At 46.1% G+C, this 19,696-nt stretch overlaps 1 protein-coding gene across 12 annotated transcripts in view; it reads left to right on the top strand.

Annotated features, from left to right (window-relative positions):
• The window catches only part of NFATC2 (nuclear factor of activated T cells 2), a 175,877-nt gene that overhangs the window by 77,490 nt on the left and 78,691 nt on the right, over nt 1-19,696 (top strand). For all 12 annotated transcript variants that reach the window (NM_001258295.2, NM_001258294.2, NM_001258292.2 and 9 more), the window contains exons 4-5: nt 9,690-9,892; nt 11,198-11,370. In NM_001258295.2, the coding sequence (NP_001245224.1) occupies nt 9,690-9,892; nt 11,198-11,370 (376 nt within the window). The remainder of the gene's footprint in view (nt 1-9,689; nt 9,893-11,197; nt 11,371-19,696) is intronic.

Genomic DNA, 19,696 nt, shown 5'->3' with positions numbered 1-19,696 from the left:
CTGAGAGCAGAGAAGGGAAGGTTCATGCCTCCAGCCCCCAAAGGAAGGGACAAAATGATCCAGGTTTTTTATTTAAAGACCCCATGGGGGACCATGAGTAGAGGGGGCTGGGGTGCAGCGTTTGGTCCTGAGTCCTGTTAGGCTAATGTGCCTTGTCTCTGATCTCTCCACACTGGTTTCTAGGGCTTCCTCAGGGTTTCAAATGTGGACATGGTAATTGGAAACAAATCTAGCATGTTTCGGGCCATCAAGTCTCTCTTGAGTGAGCGTGCTTGCTATGCGGTAGATATGTCTGTTTTTAATTTTCAGTGATGTGAGAAATATAGAATGACTTGATTCTTAATTTAGAACACTGAGAGAGCCTGACTTGTTTGGTTTTCAAGCCTGTCCAGAATGTCTAATTCTTTTTATGGTTCCCTGTGTAATTTCAAAATGTGCCACTATCAGCAGGGCGGCTGATCACAGTGGCCTCCTGCAGGACTGAAGACACATCCAGCCAGTGGGATCCCAGCTGGGTCAGAAAGCAGGCGCAGGGCTCCTTCTTCATCATACCTGGAGATGCTGTCACCTCTGTTCGGAACAGGGCAGCCCAGGTACCAGTTGTCCAACCAGCTGAGTCGTGCCCACACCGAGCAGGACAAGGCTCTGTGACACAATGGTCGCTGTGGGCCGGGAGGAGAATTGCCCAAGCTGGAGAGAAGCCGGTGTGGGCGTATAACAGCTCTTTGTCATGGGAGAGGCGTAGGTCTGGAGAGACTGCAGCTGCTCCGGCCCCTCCCATGATGTCACAGACTCTTCCTTCTAGCCTTGCTCGCTCGTTGGACACCTGTGTGGTGCTCTAGGCATTGAGGCTGCACCATGAACAGGAAAGATGGGGTGCTGCCCCCACGGGACTGACATTCTAGTGGGGAGGCAGCAAAGAGCAAATAACTATCACATGTGGGGTCAGGTGGAGGGAAGCGTCAGGTGGATGATGCAACTTAAGGCAGGGTGTGTGGAGGGACAGTGGGAAGGGCGTGGGGTGTCACATTGGGGTGCGGCTGTCTGGGAAGGCTTCTCTGATGAGAGGTCACCTGAGGACAGGTTCCAATGAAGAGTGGGGTGAGCCCTGCAGGTCATGGAGGGAGAGCATTTCAAGCTGAGGGCATGATAAGTGTTGGGATGCAGGGACGGGCACCTGCCTGGTGGGTGTCTGGCTCTCTTGAGGGTGACAAGGCCAGTGTGGCTGTCATGGGGGGCAGCAGGGAGGGAAGAAGGGTGGGTGGGAGATGGAGAAGCAGGGCCAGATCATATGGGATCTTCTGAGTCATGGTAAGGACTCGGGCTTTTTGATGCAAGGAAGATGTTTGCTGTTGGGGCGATTTTAGCAGAGGTGGCAAAAGCTCTAACTTACCATTTTAAGGATCTTTCTAGCTGGACTGCTATGTGAAGAAGACTGTGTGTAGGTGGAGGGAGAGGGGTGGGTAAGGAGACTGGGCCCCCTCTTTGACCAGGGCACTAGAGTGGAAGTGATGGAGAGTCACAGGTGGCAAATTTGAGTGGGATTTAGGGAATGGAATTGACAGGGCTTTGAGATGGATCTAATATGGGATGGAGGCAGAGAGAGTTACCAAGAGTTAGGGTTGTTATTGAAGTGATTAACACACAGTCATGGCTTGTTGGAATGGGTGAGAGTCAAGTCATGGACGAAGTGTGCCTGGTCTGCTTGTGTGTGTGTCTGTGTGTGTGTGTGTGGTGGGGGGGAGAGGGTGGAAGGTGGGGTTAGGATGGCAGGTACGTGCTGCAACTTTAGCACCCCAAAATAGATACTGAATTGGGATCCATGTGTGTTTGTAAAAATTTTCTCCCCATGTGCTGCATGGCCATGGGGAATTGCAGTCCTCTTCCCCGGTACCCTCCCGCTCGGCCTTCTCCCCCACCCTGGGCTTTTTCTTTCTTTCAGAGTGAAATCTTTGAGGATGATAGCAATTTCCTAATATTTCAAATTCAACAAAATGCTACTTAACATCGTTAATGTTTTATTTTAGTAAAATTCAAAACTGTTTGGCCCGTTGCCATTTTGAAAATCAGTCTCACATTTTGGATTGGAATCGTCCAACTGAGAGTATTTAAAAAGCCCTGAGCAGAGTTGATAGCAGAGTCGTTTTCAGAGACGTGCCACTTGCAAGGGTTCTTATTGCAGTGTTTGTAATGGGGGAAAGTTGGGAACCATCTAAATGCGCACCTGGCTGCAGGGATCCACAGGCAGAACGGGCACGCAAGGGCTGGGGCTGGGTTGCGGGAAGAGAGGCACCAGGGGGCCAAATGTAGAGTGGGGCTCACTCTCAGGAGCCCACCTTGCATTTGCTGGACCTTGATAGTGAATGCCCCCTCAGATCGCGTGTCCTGGGGACCTCACTGGCCTTGGGCTAGTCCGAACCCTGGGATGTGCCATGTAGTTCTTTGAGATTCTCATAAAGCAAGATTCAATGACAAGAGGACATGACCATCTTAGTCAATGGAGACAGTACATAAACTCGAATGCCAATATGTTGATCTGTGTGCCTGGAAGAAAAGTCTGAAAGCGTAGATAACTTCAGTTAGGGGGATAAGCTTTAGTGATCTCTTGTACAGAATGGTGACTATAGTAAATAATCATTGTCTATATTTCAAAAGTGCTAAGAGTAGATCTGAAGTGTTTTTACCACCAAACAATAAGTATGTGAGGTGATGGATGTGTTAATTAGCTTGATTTAATCATTCCACAATGTAAACACATATTAAAGCATCACATATTGTACCCCATAAATATATAAAATTGTTATTTGTCAATTAAGAGGAAAAATAAAATGAATAATAAAACAGTTTGGAATGAAAGAAAAGTTTGGAAGGATGTACACTCAAATGCTTACTTATTTTCAAGGGGTATTCTTTTTGTGATTTATCTTGTCTATTTTTTCCTGCAATGAGTGAGCTCTTAGTACTTTACACCAAAAAAAAAAAGGAACAGCAAGAATCAACAGATATTGATGCCTTTTTATCTTTGTATCAGGACAGTTAAGTTGCCACTAAAAATAGGCAGATCTTGAATTTGGTGGCAGGCAGGGGTGAGTCTGAATAACTTTCTCTTTGACGCTGAGGGTCTTTGACACGTGGAGGCCATGTTTGTGTGTCTCTGGGTTCTTATTGCTGAGCTGGTGGGGTGGATTTGCCTGTCTTAAAATGCATAGGCCAGACTTGGGGGGCTGGGGGTGGGGGGATTTTGCCTTTTTCTGAATCAGGAATCAGCCATACAACAGAAGAAACAAACAGGGCCAGTGGAGGCTGTTGCCACCTGATCACTTATGACCTGTAGGATAGTGAGCAAGTTAGTTAACCTGGTTGAGCCTCACCGTTCTCATCTAAAAATGGGATAACACTGCTCTTCTCTGAGCATTGTTATGGAGATTACATTAGCTATGTTTGCAAGCGATCCCAATACACTGTGTAGAAAGGTCTTCACCTATGGAGGGTGCAAAGTTTTCCTTGTGATGAGGTTGGATGGCGTCATTTATATAGCTAACTGTGGCGGGATGTCTAAATCACACGTCATTCCTCAGATCCGGTTTTTCAAGTAGCTGAGTTGACAAGGGGACAGAGTGGATTATTAATAGAATGATGCCCCCAAGCCTGCAGTTGGCTTCTTGGGTCCCTTTGATGGGAAGGTTGGTGGATGGAAGTCGCACCAAGCTGCAGCCTGGGCCCCCACCCCCGCAGACGCCACAGACACTCCCCTCCCGTGCATTCAGCCCTTCACGGTGTGCACTAGAAGCACTGCTTCTTCCTGGAACCTTTTCAACTGCCTGGGAAATTACAAGAAGCAGAAAACTTTCGCTCTCACCTTGGCTGCAGGAAGTGGCGTTTCCTTTGCTCGGGAGGCCAGTGACGTGGAGCTCCTGTATTGCAGAATGTGTCTGCTGTGCCTGGAGTGTGATCCGGCTGGTCCAGGCCACCGAGAAGACCTCACCTTTGGAGAAGCCTGAAAAGGCCGCCCCAAAGCCTCCTGACCGAGGTCTCCCGAAAATGGGGATGGTGGGGAGTTTGGAACCTGAAGGGTAGATCATGTCATCTCAAAACATCAAGTTCTATTTGCAAAACCCAAATCACTGAGTTTTTGGAGAAGCAAGTAAATGGCTATCTGTTCTTCTCATCAAACCTCCAGGGACCTGGCGAGGAAGGCTCTTCCAGAATGAGGCAGCTGAGCAGTTGGGATTCTGGGCACATTCTGTACCTTTTGTAGGAGGGGAGGATGGAGGGTGGACGGGAAGTATTCCTTTCATGAAAGATGGTGAGGTTTCTTCACCTGGCCCCTCTTTCCTCTGACACTCCAAGCCGGCAACTGTTGAGCCAGCCCACTGAGAAGACTGCAATTAGTGCCTGGGCTTTCCCATATGGGAGGCCTTCACGTTGGTTCTCACTTTGTTCACATTCATTCTTCACCCTTCCATTCAGTTCTGTAATATCACCTCCCTGTTTCGATTTGCGTCATCCTCCGATGACAAGGAAAGTTCTCGTTTCATGGGTACCTACCGTGTGCTGTGCTTTGGTGCCCAACAAAGGTCACCTTATTTCGCCTTTCAGAAGAGGCCTGCAGGGTGGGGGGTGATGTCTCCTTTTTATCTGAGCATATGGAAACTCAGGGGTGGAGCGATTGCTCACAGTCACACAGCCATCAAGAAGCAGAGCTGGCATCGAAATTCAGATATGTCTGACCCAAAGTGAAAAACTTTGTGCTTTCAGCTATACCACACTGCTTTCTGGTGTTACCCGGGGAGGCGGGGAAGGGACCCTCACCAGTGCCAGGTGGATTCTATCTGCTCACATTGTATAAGCCAGCCCAGCTCAACCCAGAGGCTGCTCTTCAACTCAGAGAGGCCATTCTTGGCTTTCCTAAAGAGGTTTTTCTCTCAAGGAACTACCGTTTTTGTTTGTTTAGGTTGCTGTTTGTTTCTCTCCCTCCATCTCCCTCTGTGCCCCTTCTTTTCTCCCTCCTTCCTGCCCCACTCTCTCTCCTGTGCGGCAGGAAGCACATTCTATTTTTTTTGAGACAGAGTCTTGCTTTGTGACCCAGGCGGGAGTGCAGTGGTGCAATATCGGCTCACTGCCACCTCCAACCCCCGGGTTCAAGTGATTCTCCTGCCTTGGTCTCCTGAGTAGCTGGGATTACAGGCACGTGCCACCATACCTGGCTAATTTTTGTATTTTTCACAGAGACGGGGTTTCACCATGTTGCCCGGGCTGGTCTTGAACTCCTGACGTCAAGTGATCTGCCCACCTCAGCCTCCCAAAGTGCTGGGATTACAGGCACGAGCCACCGCGCCTGGCCCCAGGAAGCACATTCTTGATGTTGCACCTTAGCACTTGCTTATTTTGCCTTTGAGGACCTGCCCTTTCTGACCTGTAGTAATCAGAGAGCAGAGTGGAATCCACCAAGCGCTGAGGACAGAGAGAGGGTGGCAGGGAAGCGGGTGGGTTCGGAGCCTGAGAGGCTGGAGTTTGGAGCCTGGCTCTGCCCTATGCTCACTGTGTTGACTGGGACAAGTTGCCAGACCTTAGCAGCCTCAGTTTCCTCACCTGTAAAATGTGGGTAGCAGTGAGCCCATCTTACGTGGAATTGTTGTGAGATGTGTAAAACATCAAGTGTGGTGTGTGGCATGAGGGAAACAGATGCTTTCACTGCTGCATTACTGTTTTTTGTTGGTTTATTTGTTTGAGACAGGGTCATGCTCTGCTACCCAGGCTGGAGTGCAGTGGCACGATTGTGGCTCACTGTAGCCTCAACCTCCTGGACTCAACTGATCCTCTCGCTTCAGCCCCACAAAGCAGCTGAGACTACGGACGTGCGACACTATGCCTGGCTAATTTTTGCATTTTTTTGGTGGAGACGGGTCAGGCCATGTTGTCCACGCTTGTCTTGAGCTTCTGGGCTCGAGAGATCTACCCACCTTGGCCTCCCAATGTGCTGGGATTACAGGCATGAGCCACCATGCCTGGCACTGTATTACTGTTGATGGTGACAGATTATTCAACAAATGTTCATTGACCATGCTAACAAAATAGCAAGGTCCCTACTGCTGTGAAACTCACGTTCAGGCAGGAGAGAGAGGTGTTCAGCAAATAACTAACTAAACAAGGAAATTTCAGATGTTAATGAAGTAAATATTCCAGTGATGTGCTAGTAAACGTTTAACATCCAGTTTTCCAGGGGGAAAAAAAAAGCCCTGATCTATAGCATTTGTCAATTTTTGTGGTGTAAATATTCCCACTACGGCTGGAAACGTACATACCAAAGTGGTGTCAACTGGCTCTTAAAATTCCTATAGGTTTAACGATTGGTTCTTGTAATGCCTAAAGAGCTGGCTTTAGCACTGAATGCATCTAATCTGGTTCAGGAAAAACCTGAAGATCTGAAACCCAAATGTGCTAGTGGAAGAGGATTCTAGGTGGAGAAAATGGCTTGTGCAAAGGCCCTGAGGTCAGAAAGACCTTGGTGTGTTCAGGGAACAGGAGGATGGCTGGTGTTGGCAGGAGCCTAGTGGGGTGGTGGAGGAGAAGGCAGAGGCTGGGCTGTGGGAAGGCTCTTAGACTATCACACAGAGTTTGGATTTTAATATAAGGCCACAGGAAGTCTTTGAAGGGTTGTAGGCAGGGGAGTATCTGGATCTGATTTGCATTTTTAAAAGATCATCGAGCTGTTCTGTGAAAGACCAGCCAGAGGTAAGCTGGGCAATCAGTGCTGGTCACTCTAATAAGGGTTGATGGTGGCTTGGGCAGGTGTGCCAACAAGAGCGGGGATGGAAATGGCTGGATTCACATGGAGCTGTAGGGACACGATAGATTTTTATCTCCAGGTGTTCCCTGCCTGTTTACCTTGAGTACACCCAGCAGGCGATTTCTGCTCTTCTTTCATTGAGGAGGAAACAGCTCCACATCATCAGGGCTCACTCTCCATCCTACCTTTCTTCTTGATACCAACTCTTGATAAATCCAGGAGAGGAGATGAGGAAATATATTTGTCTTGGGCTCAAATGCAAAGCAAAAACAACAAAAACAAAATCTCTTCTCAATGCTGCCCTTATTTTGATTTTCGTCACTGAGTACAGTAGCTGTTCTTCAGATAAGAGGCTTCTGACTTGGATTTCCATCTTGGCCCAAGGCCGCCTCTCAGGTGTGTGTCAGACACTTATGTAAGTGTCTGGCAGGTTATGAAAAAAGGTGATCATCTAGCACAGTTCCACTCCCAGCCTCTCTCTTTGTATGGCTTTTAGAAGGGGACATGAGCATGCCATCTTTCTAGACCAGCATTGTTCAATAGGACTTTCTGTGATGATGGAAACATTCTGTGTCTGTGCTGTTTGTTCATTGTGGCTGCCACTAGCCACATGTGGCTTCTGAGCACTGAAATGTGGCTAGTGTACCTGAAAAACTGAATTTTCAATTTTACTTAATTTTAATTAATATATACATGTGGTTAGTGGCTCTTGCATTAGATTGCACAATTCTAGACCATATGTAACCATTCATCACCCTGCAACTTTGCCTTTTGGCAGGTGACTGGAGATCCTACCGAAGGATCTCCAGAGAAGAGTGGGGTCTTCGTGAGTTGTCACCTGTAGTCCCACTCAATTAGTGGAGAAAGGAATAGAGGCACAGAAAGATTAAATGATTTGTCTAGTGTTTCTCCACTCAATGACAAGACAGGAACACATCATCAAACTCTAGACCAATGTCCTTTTGTCTCTTGTTATTTTATATATATATATATATATATATATATATATATATATATATATATAGACACACACACACATATGTATATATATATGTGTATATATATATATTTTAAATATTTCACAGGTTTCTAGGAATCTATCCTTCCTATAACATGGCATATAAAGTCAAAGTCCTCTTTGATCACCTTCTCAATCTTGAGCTTCTTCTCCATTCACAGAGGTGATGATGTGGTCAGTTTGGAGCACATCCTTTCACACCTTTTTCTATTATAACTGGATGGATGGAAAACATTCTGCATTTTTTTAAGTTGTATCATGCTGTATGTATTTTTCTACACATTGCTTTTGTTTTTCAACAGCGTGTCCTAGATCTTTCTGGGTCGGTTCATAGGCTTCTACCTTACTATTTTTTAAAGTGCTTCTTAGTGTATCACAGCCTAGGCATGTCCTGTTAGTAGTCAGGCTATTGATGTAACTCATTGTTCATTATTCTGTTTGTTTTTGTAAACATTTTTGTACGTGTCTCCTGCATATACAGTGTTTCTCCAGGCTGCGTATGGAGAGGTGGAATTACTGGGTCAAAGAGTGTTTATTTATGTAGTTTTACTAAAGCTGTTGCTCTGATACTCTTTAAAATAGTTATACCAGTCTATATTGCTCTTACCTGCATAAAAGTGCCTGTTCCCCCACAATCTCCAAAATACTTGATATTATCAAATATCTACATGTGTGCCAATCTAACAGGTGAAAAGTGGTATCTCATGGCTGTCTAATTTGCATGTTTGTTTAGAAGTCAAACTGGTCATTTGTTTTCTCTGAATTTCCTGTTCAAATATCTTACTCACTTTTTTTCTGTTGGATAGCCTTATTAATTCACTCATCAAATATGTACTAGAATGCCTACTATGTGCCAAGCGTTACTCTAGGTGCTAGAGATTTTGTGGCAAATTAACTAGACAAACATCTCTGCTCTCAGAGAGGTGACAGTTTAGTTCTGGGAGAAAGACTTAGGCAAAAGGAATCAAGAAAATGTATAGTGTGTTGGACTGGATAAAAAGTAGGAGAGAGAGATAGGGAAAGCCATTGGGATTAGGATTCAATTCTAAATAGATGGCCAGGGAATCTTTTACTTACTCACTATAGGCATTCTTCATATATTCTATGTGCTAATCTTTTATCTGTTATATGTTGCACATATTTTCTTTCAGTCTTTATCTTTTGACTTAGACTATGGCATTTTTGTCACACTCTTTTTTAAAGTTACACAATCAAACTTTGTTCATTGGAATATAGTCATATAAGAAGTGACAGTTCTACATGGACACAGGAAGGGGAACATCACACACTGGGGCCTGTTGTGGGGTGGGGGGAGGGGGGAGGGATAGCATTAGGAGATATACCTAATGTTAAATGATGAGTTAATGGGTGCAGCACACCAACATGGCACATGTATACATATATAACTAACCTGCACGTTGTGCACATGTACCCTAAAACTTAAAGTATAAAAAAAAAAAAAAAAAGAAGTGACAGTTCTTTCTTCTGATCTTCTCAGGCAATCACTATCAAGAGCTCTATGTTTGTCCTTTCAGTTTATTTGCAGTTAATTTCAGTTATCCTCACTACTATGCAACACTCCTTCCACCCTCAGTCATCAATTAAGCACAGTTTCTGGCTGTTTCTCCATAAATGCAGTTCTGACTTACTGTATTCTTTCTAGTGGCTGCTTAATATTCAGCATTAGAGGGGATCCCTGTAATTTATCCAAGCGTTACCCTCTGGCTGGACATCAAGGTTGTTTCCAGTTCTCCATTCTTCCAGATGCTGCAGAAATCCCATAGTCTCTCTACTGCCCATGAGCTCTCTGGTCTTTTTTTGTTTATTGGATTAGAGCCACCACACCCCGCACCTTAATGATTTTGTTTTCTCCCCCACCAGCTCCATGGCTACATGGAAAACAAGCCTCTGGGACTTCAGATCTTCATTGGGACAGCTGATGAGCGGATCCTTAAGCCGCACGCCTTCTACCAGGTGCACCGAATCACGGGGAAAACTGTCACCACCACCAGCTATGAGAAGATAGTGGGCAACACCAAAGTCCTGGAGATACCCTTGGAGCCCAAAAACAACATGAGGGCAACGTAAGGGCTGGGAGCTGAGGGCGGCGGGTCTTCATGGAGAAGCGAGCAGGGGGCAGGTGGCAGGGATTTGGGAGAGGGGACTCTACAGAACTGATGGAAGCAGCTGTTGATGGCAGTTCTCAGTCTGTGATCCATCGACCCGTTGTGATTTCTGTTTTAAATGTTTCCATTTTAAAAGCATAATATGTAGGCCGGGCGTGGTGGCTCGCGCCTGTAATCCTAGCGCTTTGGAAGGCTGAGGCGGGTGGATCACTTGAGATCAGGAATTCAAGACCAGCCTGGCCAGCATGGTGAAACCCCATCTCTATTAAACATACAAAAATTAGCTGGGTATGGTGGCGGGCGCCTGTAATCCCAGATACTCTGGAGGCTGAGGCAGGAGAATTGCTTGAACTTGATGCGGGCAGGTTGCTGTGAGCCGAGATCACACTACTGCACTCCAGCCTGGGTGACAGAGTGAGACTCTGTCTCAAAAAAAAAAAAAAATAAATAAAGTATAATATGTCAGTATTTTCATGTGCCTCGGGAGGAAGAACTCGTGAATATTTGTGTTATGTTGCATGGGATCAGGTTAAATTTACTTATATTTAAAAAATTAATTTGACCTAGAGAGATCATTAAGTGATGATGCAGAGAGGCCCAAATTCACAAAGCTAATATGGCTGTGGCTAAAATCTGGGAACCATTGCACACATTTTGGGGTTAAAAAAACCTTTGGATGGGAAAATAAATTCAAACTTACAGAAATACTGCAAGAAGTGTACAAAGAACTCCTGAATCCTGCCCCCTCGGCTTTCCCAGGCGTTAACATGCTTCACCTGTGCTCCAGCACTTTCTTTCCCACCTCTCCGTTTTTTCCTGAACTGTTTGAGAGGTATTTGCAGACTTTATGCCCTTTTACTTTTAAATACTTCAGGATGCATTTCCTAAGAGCAAGGATGCTCTCATACACAATCACAGTACATTTATTCAATTCAAGAGATTTCACGTTGATTCACTACTCTTATCTATTGAATAGTCCACAATCAATAGTCCCCAGTTACATAGAGTTTTTCAGATGTTTTTGAGAGTAGAAGAGTTGGCATGAAAAATCTCCCTAGACAAGTAATTTTCACTGGGGAATTTCTCTAATTGCTTTTGTTAAGTATTTTTTACCCCCATCTTGGTATACATTCCTGGCTGAAATGCTTATGTGAGTGTATTGCAGTTTCCCCCAGTGACTGGCTGTAGACTGGCAGCTTTGGGGGTGATCTTTCCTGCTCCTGAAGGTAGTTGGTGACAATGGGGTTCTTAACATCCTGGCAGCATCGACTGTGCGGGGATCTTGAAGCTTAGAAACGCCGACATTGAGCTGCGGAAAGGCGAGACGGACATTGGAAGAAAGAACACGCGGGTGAGACTGGTTTTCCGAGTTCACATCCCAGAGTCCAGTGGCAGAATCGTCTCTTTACAGACTGCATCTAACCCCATCGAGTGCTGTAAGTTGGGCCCTGGGGCCCGGTCTTTCTTCAGAAAGCGTAGGGCACGTGGGCTTCCCCCGGGAGCAGTGTATTCTGGGCGAGGTACCCGGGGTGGCCTGCGGGAATGTGTGGGACCCACAGGGTTACACTGGCCCAAGATGACCAGAGGGGACAGAGACAGAGCACATTGCAGTGTTCTCTTGCTGCTTCTATTGACTTCTGGAAGGTTTTGTGGCCTCACAGGAAATTTAAAAATAATAGGGCCAATAAGTAGCCTAAAGCTTCATTCAGAAGACTTGAAATGTGTAAATATCATTCTGGTCTTAAAGGATAGATGCATTTGGAGTGAGTTTGCTGTGCATGGTGCCCTTTTTTCTTTTCCTTCTTTATCCTTTCAATAACAATAACAAACCACAGCAGCTCTCACTCATTGAGCTTTGACTCTGCTGGTCACAGTGTGAAGTGCTCCGCATGAGTATTCACAGCAGTCCCGGGAGCTAGCTGGTGTCAGTGTGCCCATTTCACAGATGAGAAGGTGGAGTCACAAGGGGGTAAACTGTGCACACAACCAAAGAGTGGCAGGGTTGGGATTGGAACTGGGGCTTTTGCACGTGGGAGGCATGCCCTGTCCCCCACCCATGCCCTGTCCCCCACCCTGTCCCCGCACCCATCTCTGCATGTTGACTGAGGTCTGTTTTTTATCCTGCACTATGCCAGGGGTTGGGGATCCATAGATGAGCAGGACACTTTCTCTGGCCTTAATGAGCTTACGGTCTGGAGAGGATAAGGACACCCAGACAGATGGTTGTATCATTGCAGAAGATTTTCGGAGTCTGATACGAAGTGACCAGGATCTGCCATTTGGAAGGACACTGAGCAGAAACCTGGCACATTTCTACCAGGTTTCAAAACAAAAAGTAGCTTTGAGCTCATTCTTACGTACTTTATACCTAAGTTTAAAGTCTACTTATACATTAACACAGTTTTGTAGTTAATCTCTGCAATTAGATGTGACAACACTTATTATCTGCTCAGTGTTTGAAAGTTTAGAAGTTATTTTAGAAAGCATGAAGAAGAGGCAAGGCGCAGTGGCTCACACCTGTAATCCCAGCACTTTGGTGGATCTCTTGAGGTCAGGAGTTCAAGATCAGCCTGGCCAACATGGTGAAACCCCATCTCTACTAAAAATACAAAATTAGCCGGGTGTGGTGGTATGCGCCTGTAATTCCAACTACTTGGGAGGCTGAGGCAGGAGAATCACTTGAATCCGGGAGGTGGAGGTTGCGATGAGCTGAGATCGCACCACTGCCCTCCAGCCTGGGCAACAGAGTGAGACCCTGTCTCAAAAAAAAAAAAAAAAAAAAAAAAGAAGAAAGAAGAAAAAAATAAGCATTGTTCCAGAAACAAAAACTGTTTCTATTGTTTTAAAGTCTCTTTCTTCTAAGAACATTTGGTTTCATGCTGTTCTAATCATGTTCCATATTAAATTATGGTTCAGGATTTTTTTTCCTTTTTGCTGGACATTTTACCATAACTAGGTGTCACAATATCAACTTCCTACAGAGGCCAGGGAGGTTGTGAAAATGAATGGGGTAGGTTGGGTGGCAGACGTCAGGGAATAGTGGAGATTGGGGACATTCACTATCTAAATGCGCTGCTGCTACTCAACTGCAGCCAGTATTTCCACGTGGGAATATAGACTCAATGTGATCAAATATTTTGGTTATTTTATTTTATTTTATTAAGAAGGAATCTCACTCTCTGATCCAGGCTGGAGTGCCGTGGTGCGATCTTGGCTCACTGCAACTTCTACCTCCCGGGTTCAAGTGATTCTCCTGCCTCAGCCCTCCAAGTAACTGGGATTACAGGCACCCACTACCACGCCTGGCTAATTGTTTGTATTTTTTAGTAGAGACAGGGTTTCGCCATGTTGGCCAGGCTGGTCTCGAACTCCTGACCTCAGATGATCCACCCACCTCAGCCTCCCAAAGTGCTGGGATCGCAGGTGTGAGCCACCACACCTGGCCTATTTTAAGTTCCAGGGTACATGTGTAGGATGTACAGGTTTGTTACACAGGTAAACATGTGCCATGGTGCTTTGCTGCATCCATCAGCTGGCGCTGGAAATCTTCTGGTTTTTAAAAATAAACCAAAAAATATCCCGATTTAAAAAAATAGTAGAAAAATCAAAATGCTCTGCGGTCAGAAAATATCTGCAGATAGCTTCTGTTAATCAGAGATAGTCTGAAGACTAACATGCAAAGGGAAAGCGTATTTTCTGCAGAAGAGGTTGGGAAAGCCTAGCCTTCATGGTGAAAAGTCAGGAAGGAGAGAGGATGGTCCTTTCTTTGGGAGAGCAGCCAGAACTTGGTCTTGGTTGGTCTTTGGAAATGAATGAAGAGTCACTCTAATTTCTTTCAGCCTTTTGAGTCAAGACGTGGATCAGTCTGAATTGGTGGTGAGCTTGTATTCTGATCTTAGAAGAGAAAGACCCAATAGTAGATACCAAGGGAAAACATGTTGAAAACCCCATTACTAGAAATATTGGAATTCTCCTGCTCAGCTCAGTAGACCCCACTCCTGTCCATCAAATGCTGGTCATGGTGGCTGCCCCACCAAGGTCTTGGTTTTGAACCTCTCAAGATGTTTTTGGAAGGAAACTTGCAGCGATTTGGGGGATTGTGAGCAGATAAGGTCTCCCCTTTCTGGCAAATGACTCATGTTCCAGGATGGGACTGGGGTTTGTAGCAAGGTGGGGACAGGAGCCCCTGATCCTCCCTCTCTTTGGGTTTCTCAAGGCAACTTATCTTATGTCGATCTAAGACTTTGAGGATCATCGCTTAACCACATGTACCTCCAGCAAGATCTTCAGGGTGTTAGAAAGCTGTTTGAACATTGAAAATTGTTTTCTTTTCTTTTTAAAAAGGCATTTGCCTGATTCACCTGCCTTCTTTTGACAGAGAAGGAAACTGAGACTTCTTGGTAAGGTGATTCACCTGTTTTTACTTGGTAGGTAGGAAAGCCAGTCTTCAACTTTCTGGTTCTATGAAATCCTTTCTTCTTTTGGTTCCCATAACCCACCCTCTCTTGCAATACCAAGCTGAGCTACCAGTTGGCCACTCTAGTTCTCACTAATAATTTTCTGTCATTTTTATTTACTTCTTTGTTCTGTTTCCCTAGACCAGTGCCTAGTAGGTCCATAAATATGTATTGACTACTTACTGTATAATCCACAGGGAGGTAGTCAGTAAATACATGTTAGCAATTAGTCCGTAACACGCGCTGGCAGAGTATTGTAAAATACATTGTTACTAATGACAGTATACCCTTAGACAGTGTATACTGACTAAGCCAGAGTCTCCAATGACAGGGAGAGTGAGTTGGTGAGAAAAACACTTCGTGGGCTAGTACTTATTTGCAAGGCTAATTTATTTACTTTGGAGATGCCTTTTATGTACTGTCTTAGGGATCAAGGGTAAGTTCTTCGATGCTAGCAGAAACAACATGAACAAACTACCAGAGGCAGCTCTTTGGAAGGTGGAGTGATTTCCTAGGAGTGCAGGTGCCTTATGTTTATTTGCATGCCAGCTGGTCAGAGCTGCAATCTCACTTTTGCACAGACTGGCACTCTTGTGTTTCCAGTCTTCTGTTTCCACTAGGGCTTCAGCATTGCCGAGGAGATCCTTCCAGCTTCCCCGACTGCTCCTTTCCTTATTCTCAGGAAGACTGACCTGACCCTTCTCCAGTCTCCCAGCCTCTGAATGCTGCCCCCACCCCTTCCCACTCCATGTAGATAACCCCACCTCCCACTTCTCTGGAGTATGGAAGAGGTCAGAGGGATCACCCCCGTCTTCCCCAACAACAAGCCTACCCATGATAGACAGCAGCTGCAAGGGCCTGCCCTCCCTTCTCCACTTGGCACGGAGCAGTTCCCCTCTCCTCCTGCTCAGCCTCATTCCCGCCTGAGCCCAGCCTCCTCGGTGTTGTCAGCTTCAACTCCACTTTCCCTGCAGGGGTAGAGCTGGCGCCTGCTTCCCTCTTATGTTAGTTTCCTAGGCTGTCATAATCAATTACTGCAAACCAGGTGGCTTGAAACAACAGAAATGTGTTCTCTCACTGTTCTGGAGGCCAGAAGTCTGAAATCAAGGTGTCAGCAGGGTTGGTTCCTGCTGGAGACTCAGGGGAGAAACCGCCGGTGCCATCCCCGCCAGCTTTTGGTGCCTGCTGGTCTCCCTGGCCTTCCTTGGCTTGTGGCTGCATTGCTCCAGTCTCTGCCTCTGTCTGCACATGGCCTTCTCTGGGTCTCTGTGTGTATCTTTTTCTGTTGCTTACGAGGATGCACTTATTGGGTTTAGACCTAATCCAGGGTGATCTCATCTCCATTCTTACCTTAATTATATATGTGAAGACCCTGGTTCCAAATAAGGTACGTTCTGAGGTTGTGGGTGGATGTGAAGTTTGCAGGGAGGAGGAGTCGGGTAGGGGGTACTATGTGTAACCCACTACACTTCCTCAACTGCATTTGTTGGCTTCCCTTCCTGTCTGCTCCTCAGTTCCCAAATGCATTGGGATCTTTCTCTGACATTTTGGCTTTTGCACACTGTCACCTCTGCCCAGAGCATCTCAAACTTGACTGTATGTTAGAATTACCCGGGAGTTGTATTAAAAAATACTGATGCCCAGCCAAGCTCGGTGGCTCACGTCTATAATCTCAGTGCTTTGAGAGGCTAAGGCCGGACGATCGCTTGAGCTCAGGAGTTGGAGACCAGCCTGACTAACATGGTGAAAACCCATCTCTACAAAAACAATTAGCCAGGCATGCTGGTGCATGCCTGTAGTCTCAGCTACTTGGGGGCCTGAGGTGGGCAGATTGCTTGGACCCAGGAGGTTGAGGCTGCAGTGAGCCAAGATTGCACCACTGCACTCCAGCTTGGGTGACAAAGTTAGATGCCATTTCAGGAAAAAAAAAAAATACTGATGTCCTGGTCCCATCCTGGAGACTCTGATTTGGTTGTCAGGATGTGGCCTGGGCATGGAGGCTTTCCGAGGTCTCCCAGTGATTCTGATGTGGGGCGGACTTTGAGAGGTGCATATCTGGAGCCCACCCCTCCCCATCCTTCAGTGGCTTGGCTAACCCCTCCTCATCCAAGGCCCCTGTTTAGATGGCTCCTCAAGGAGGAAGCATTCCCTGACCCCACACGGTACGGGGTGCCCCCCTTTGTGCTCTGACAGCCCAATTTACTTGTCAGTCTCTGTCCTATAAAGACGGAACCAGGCAATGTTTGCCGGGGCTCAGCACATGGTGACGGTCTCCAGGCTGTATTTCCACACTGCCCAGTGGGGAGAAAAAGGCTGCAATGAGACAGGAGATGTCCACAGGCACACACCTGGTCCTGTGAGAACTTAACAGAACCTCTCCAGCCATGTCTCCAGGTAGCTCTGCCCAAGCCACTATGGCTTTCTCCCTGCCCAGCAGATGGGCCTCTCTGCTCCGTGTATTTCAGAAAACACGTAAAGCAATTTCACACAAAGCCCTGCCAGCTCAGGGCACAGAATGTAAATTCGCTTTGCTCATTTTGCAGGGCTTGGGAGTGGGTATGGGGTGTGGGTTAGAAAGTGGATTTTTTCACATGCTCTTTTCCCTCTCTGCCTCTCTTTGTGACATATATATATATTTTTATGGAGGTATAATTAAGATAAAGTAGATTGCATAGATTGTAGGTGTTCAGTGATTTTTGACAATCGCATATACCCACGTAACCACCACTCAAGACAGAGCACTTTCTTCACTCTTGAACGTTCCCCATGTCCCTTCAGCCAAGGCCGCCTCCTCAAGCCCACACACGGAGGCAGCGCTGTTCTGATTTCTATCACGGTTGATTAATCTTCCCTGTTCTAGAACTTTATAGAATGGAATTAATACAGTGTGTACCCTTCTGGGTCTGGCTGTTTTTGCTCAGCATGTTATTTTTGAGATCTGTCACTGCTATGGTGTTATTCAGTAATGCATTCCTAATTATTGCTGAGCACTACTATTCAATTGCATGAATATAACAATTGTTTATTTACCATTGATAGAAATTTGGTCTGTTCCCGGGGCTTAGGTTTATGGATAAGGCTACTATGCACATTCCTACTCAAGTCCTTCTGTGAGCAAATGCTTTCATTTCTCTTGGGTAAATGACCTAGGAAGGGACTTGGTTGTGTATGTTTTTATTTATGTATTTTCAACATCATAGTCCACTCTGAACAAGGATGTATGAGAGTTCCAGTTACTCTACATCCTCACCAATATTTGGTATTGTCAGTCTTTTAAATTTTAACCCTTCTAATGAGAGTAAAATGGGATCTCATTGTGGTTTTAATGTGCATTTCCCTAATGACTAATGATTCAGGTGCTTGTTGGCTATCTATGTGTCTTCTATTTTTTTATTTTTTTTGAGATGGAGTCTCACTCTTTTCCCCTAGGCTGGAGTGCAATGGCATGATCTCGGCTCACTGCAACCTCTGCCTCCCAGCTTCAAGTGATTCTCCTGCCTCAGCCTCTGGAGTAGCTGGGATTACAGGCGCCCACCACCATGCCCGGCTAATTTTTGTATTTTTAGTAGAGACGGGGTTTCACCATGTTGGCCAGGCTGGTCTCGAACTCCTGACCTCAGGTGATCCACCTGCCTCCACCTCCCAAACTGTTGGGATTACGGGCGTGAGCCACCATGTCTGGCCTATGTATCTTCTTTGGTAAATTGTCTGTTCAAATATTTGCCCATTTTTAACTGGGTTATTCATATTTTTATTGTTAATATGCATCAGTTCTTTATATATTCTGGACATAAGTCCTTTGTCAGATTTGTGTATATTTTTCCCTGTCTGTGGCTTACCTGTTTATTTTCAGGTAATGTCTTGTGTCTTTTTTTTTTTTTTTTTTGAGACTAAGTCTCGCTCTTGTTGCTCAGGCTGGAGTGCAATGGCGCAGTCTTGGCTCACTGTGACCTCTACCTCCCAGGTTGAAGCGATTCTCCTGCCTCAGCCTCCCGAGTAGCTGGGATTACAGGCGACTGCCACCATGCCCAGCTAATTCTTGTATTTTTAGTAGAGATGGGGTTTCACCATGTTGACCAGGCTGGTCTTGAACTCCTGACCTCAGGCGATCTGCCCGCCTCGGCCTCCCAAACTACTGGGATTACAGACGTGAGCCACTGCGCCCAGCCCAGGGAGTGTCTTTTTATGAACATTCATATTTTATTTTGATGAAGCCAAATTTGTCATTTTCTTTTCTTCTGGGATTAGTGCTTTTTGCATTCCTCCAGGAAATCTCTGCCTATCTGAAGGTAGCAAAGACATTCTGTCACATTTTCTTCTGGAAGCTTTTCGGTTCTGGTTTCATGTTTGGGGCTCTGATCCGTGCAGGTTGGTTTTTGTGTATCGTGTGGGGTAGGGTCCAGCTCCATTGTTTTCCCTGTGGAAATTCAGCTATTTCTGATGCCTTTTTTTTTCCTGAAAGCAAAAGATTAGACAACCTACGACCCCGATGCTTCTTGCACACCTTCCGTTTTATCCCTCACTTTACTCTCCTGGGTCTAGCTGGCGGTTGGGTGCTAATGCAGCATTGCTTCAGGAAACCCTTAGAATTAGGGAGGGAGGCCCGGGCCAGGTGTGGTGGCTCATGCCTGGAATCTCAGCACCTTGGGAGGCTGAAGTGGGCAGATCACTTGAGGTCAGGAGTTCGAGACCAGCCTGGCCAACATGGCGAAACCCCGTCTCTACTAAAAATACAAAAGTTAGCCAGGTGTGGTGGTGCACACCTGTAACCCCAGCTACTCTGGAGGCTGAGGCAGGAGAATCACTTGAACCCGGGAGGCGGAGGTTGCAGTGAGCCGAGATCCCACCACTGCACTCCAGCCTGGGCGACAGAGTGAGACTCCATCTCAAAACAAACAAAAGAATTAGGGAGGCCTGAATGGCATGTTGACTGTGCTTCGCTTTGTGAATCAGAAATGCTCATCTTGTTCAGCTGCTCCTGCCGGAAGCTGAAATGACTCACATCATTATCGTGGGCTTCCCAATATTTATTCTTTCAACTTAAAATACATTTGGCATGTGATATATACTGTTCTGGGCACTAGGGATGCAACACTGAACAAAACAAAGTCCCTGCCCTCACAAAGGTTACATTCTAGTGGGGAAGACAGACAGTAAACAAGCAAAGACAGCATTTGAGAGCCAAGTGTCATGATGAAAATAACAAGGACCACGGGTTGGTGGCTTGGGAGTGCGGGAACAGCAACATCACCATGTTGGTAGGCTGGTTAAATATGTGTCTGTCATGCCGATCAGGGAAGGCCCC

This window comes from Homo sapiens, chromosome 20, assembly GCF_000001405.40.
Source record: "Homo sapiens chromosome 20, GRCh38.p14 Primary Assembly".
Lineage (NCBI taxonomy): Eukaryota > Metazoa > Chordata > Mammalia > Primates > Hominidae > Homo > Homo sapiens.
The sequence above is the reverse complement of the archived record's forward strand: the minus strand, read 5'-3'. Positions and strand labels throughout refer to the sequence as shown.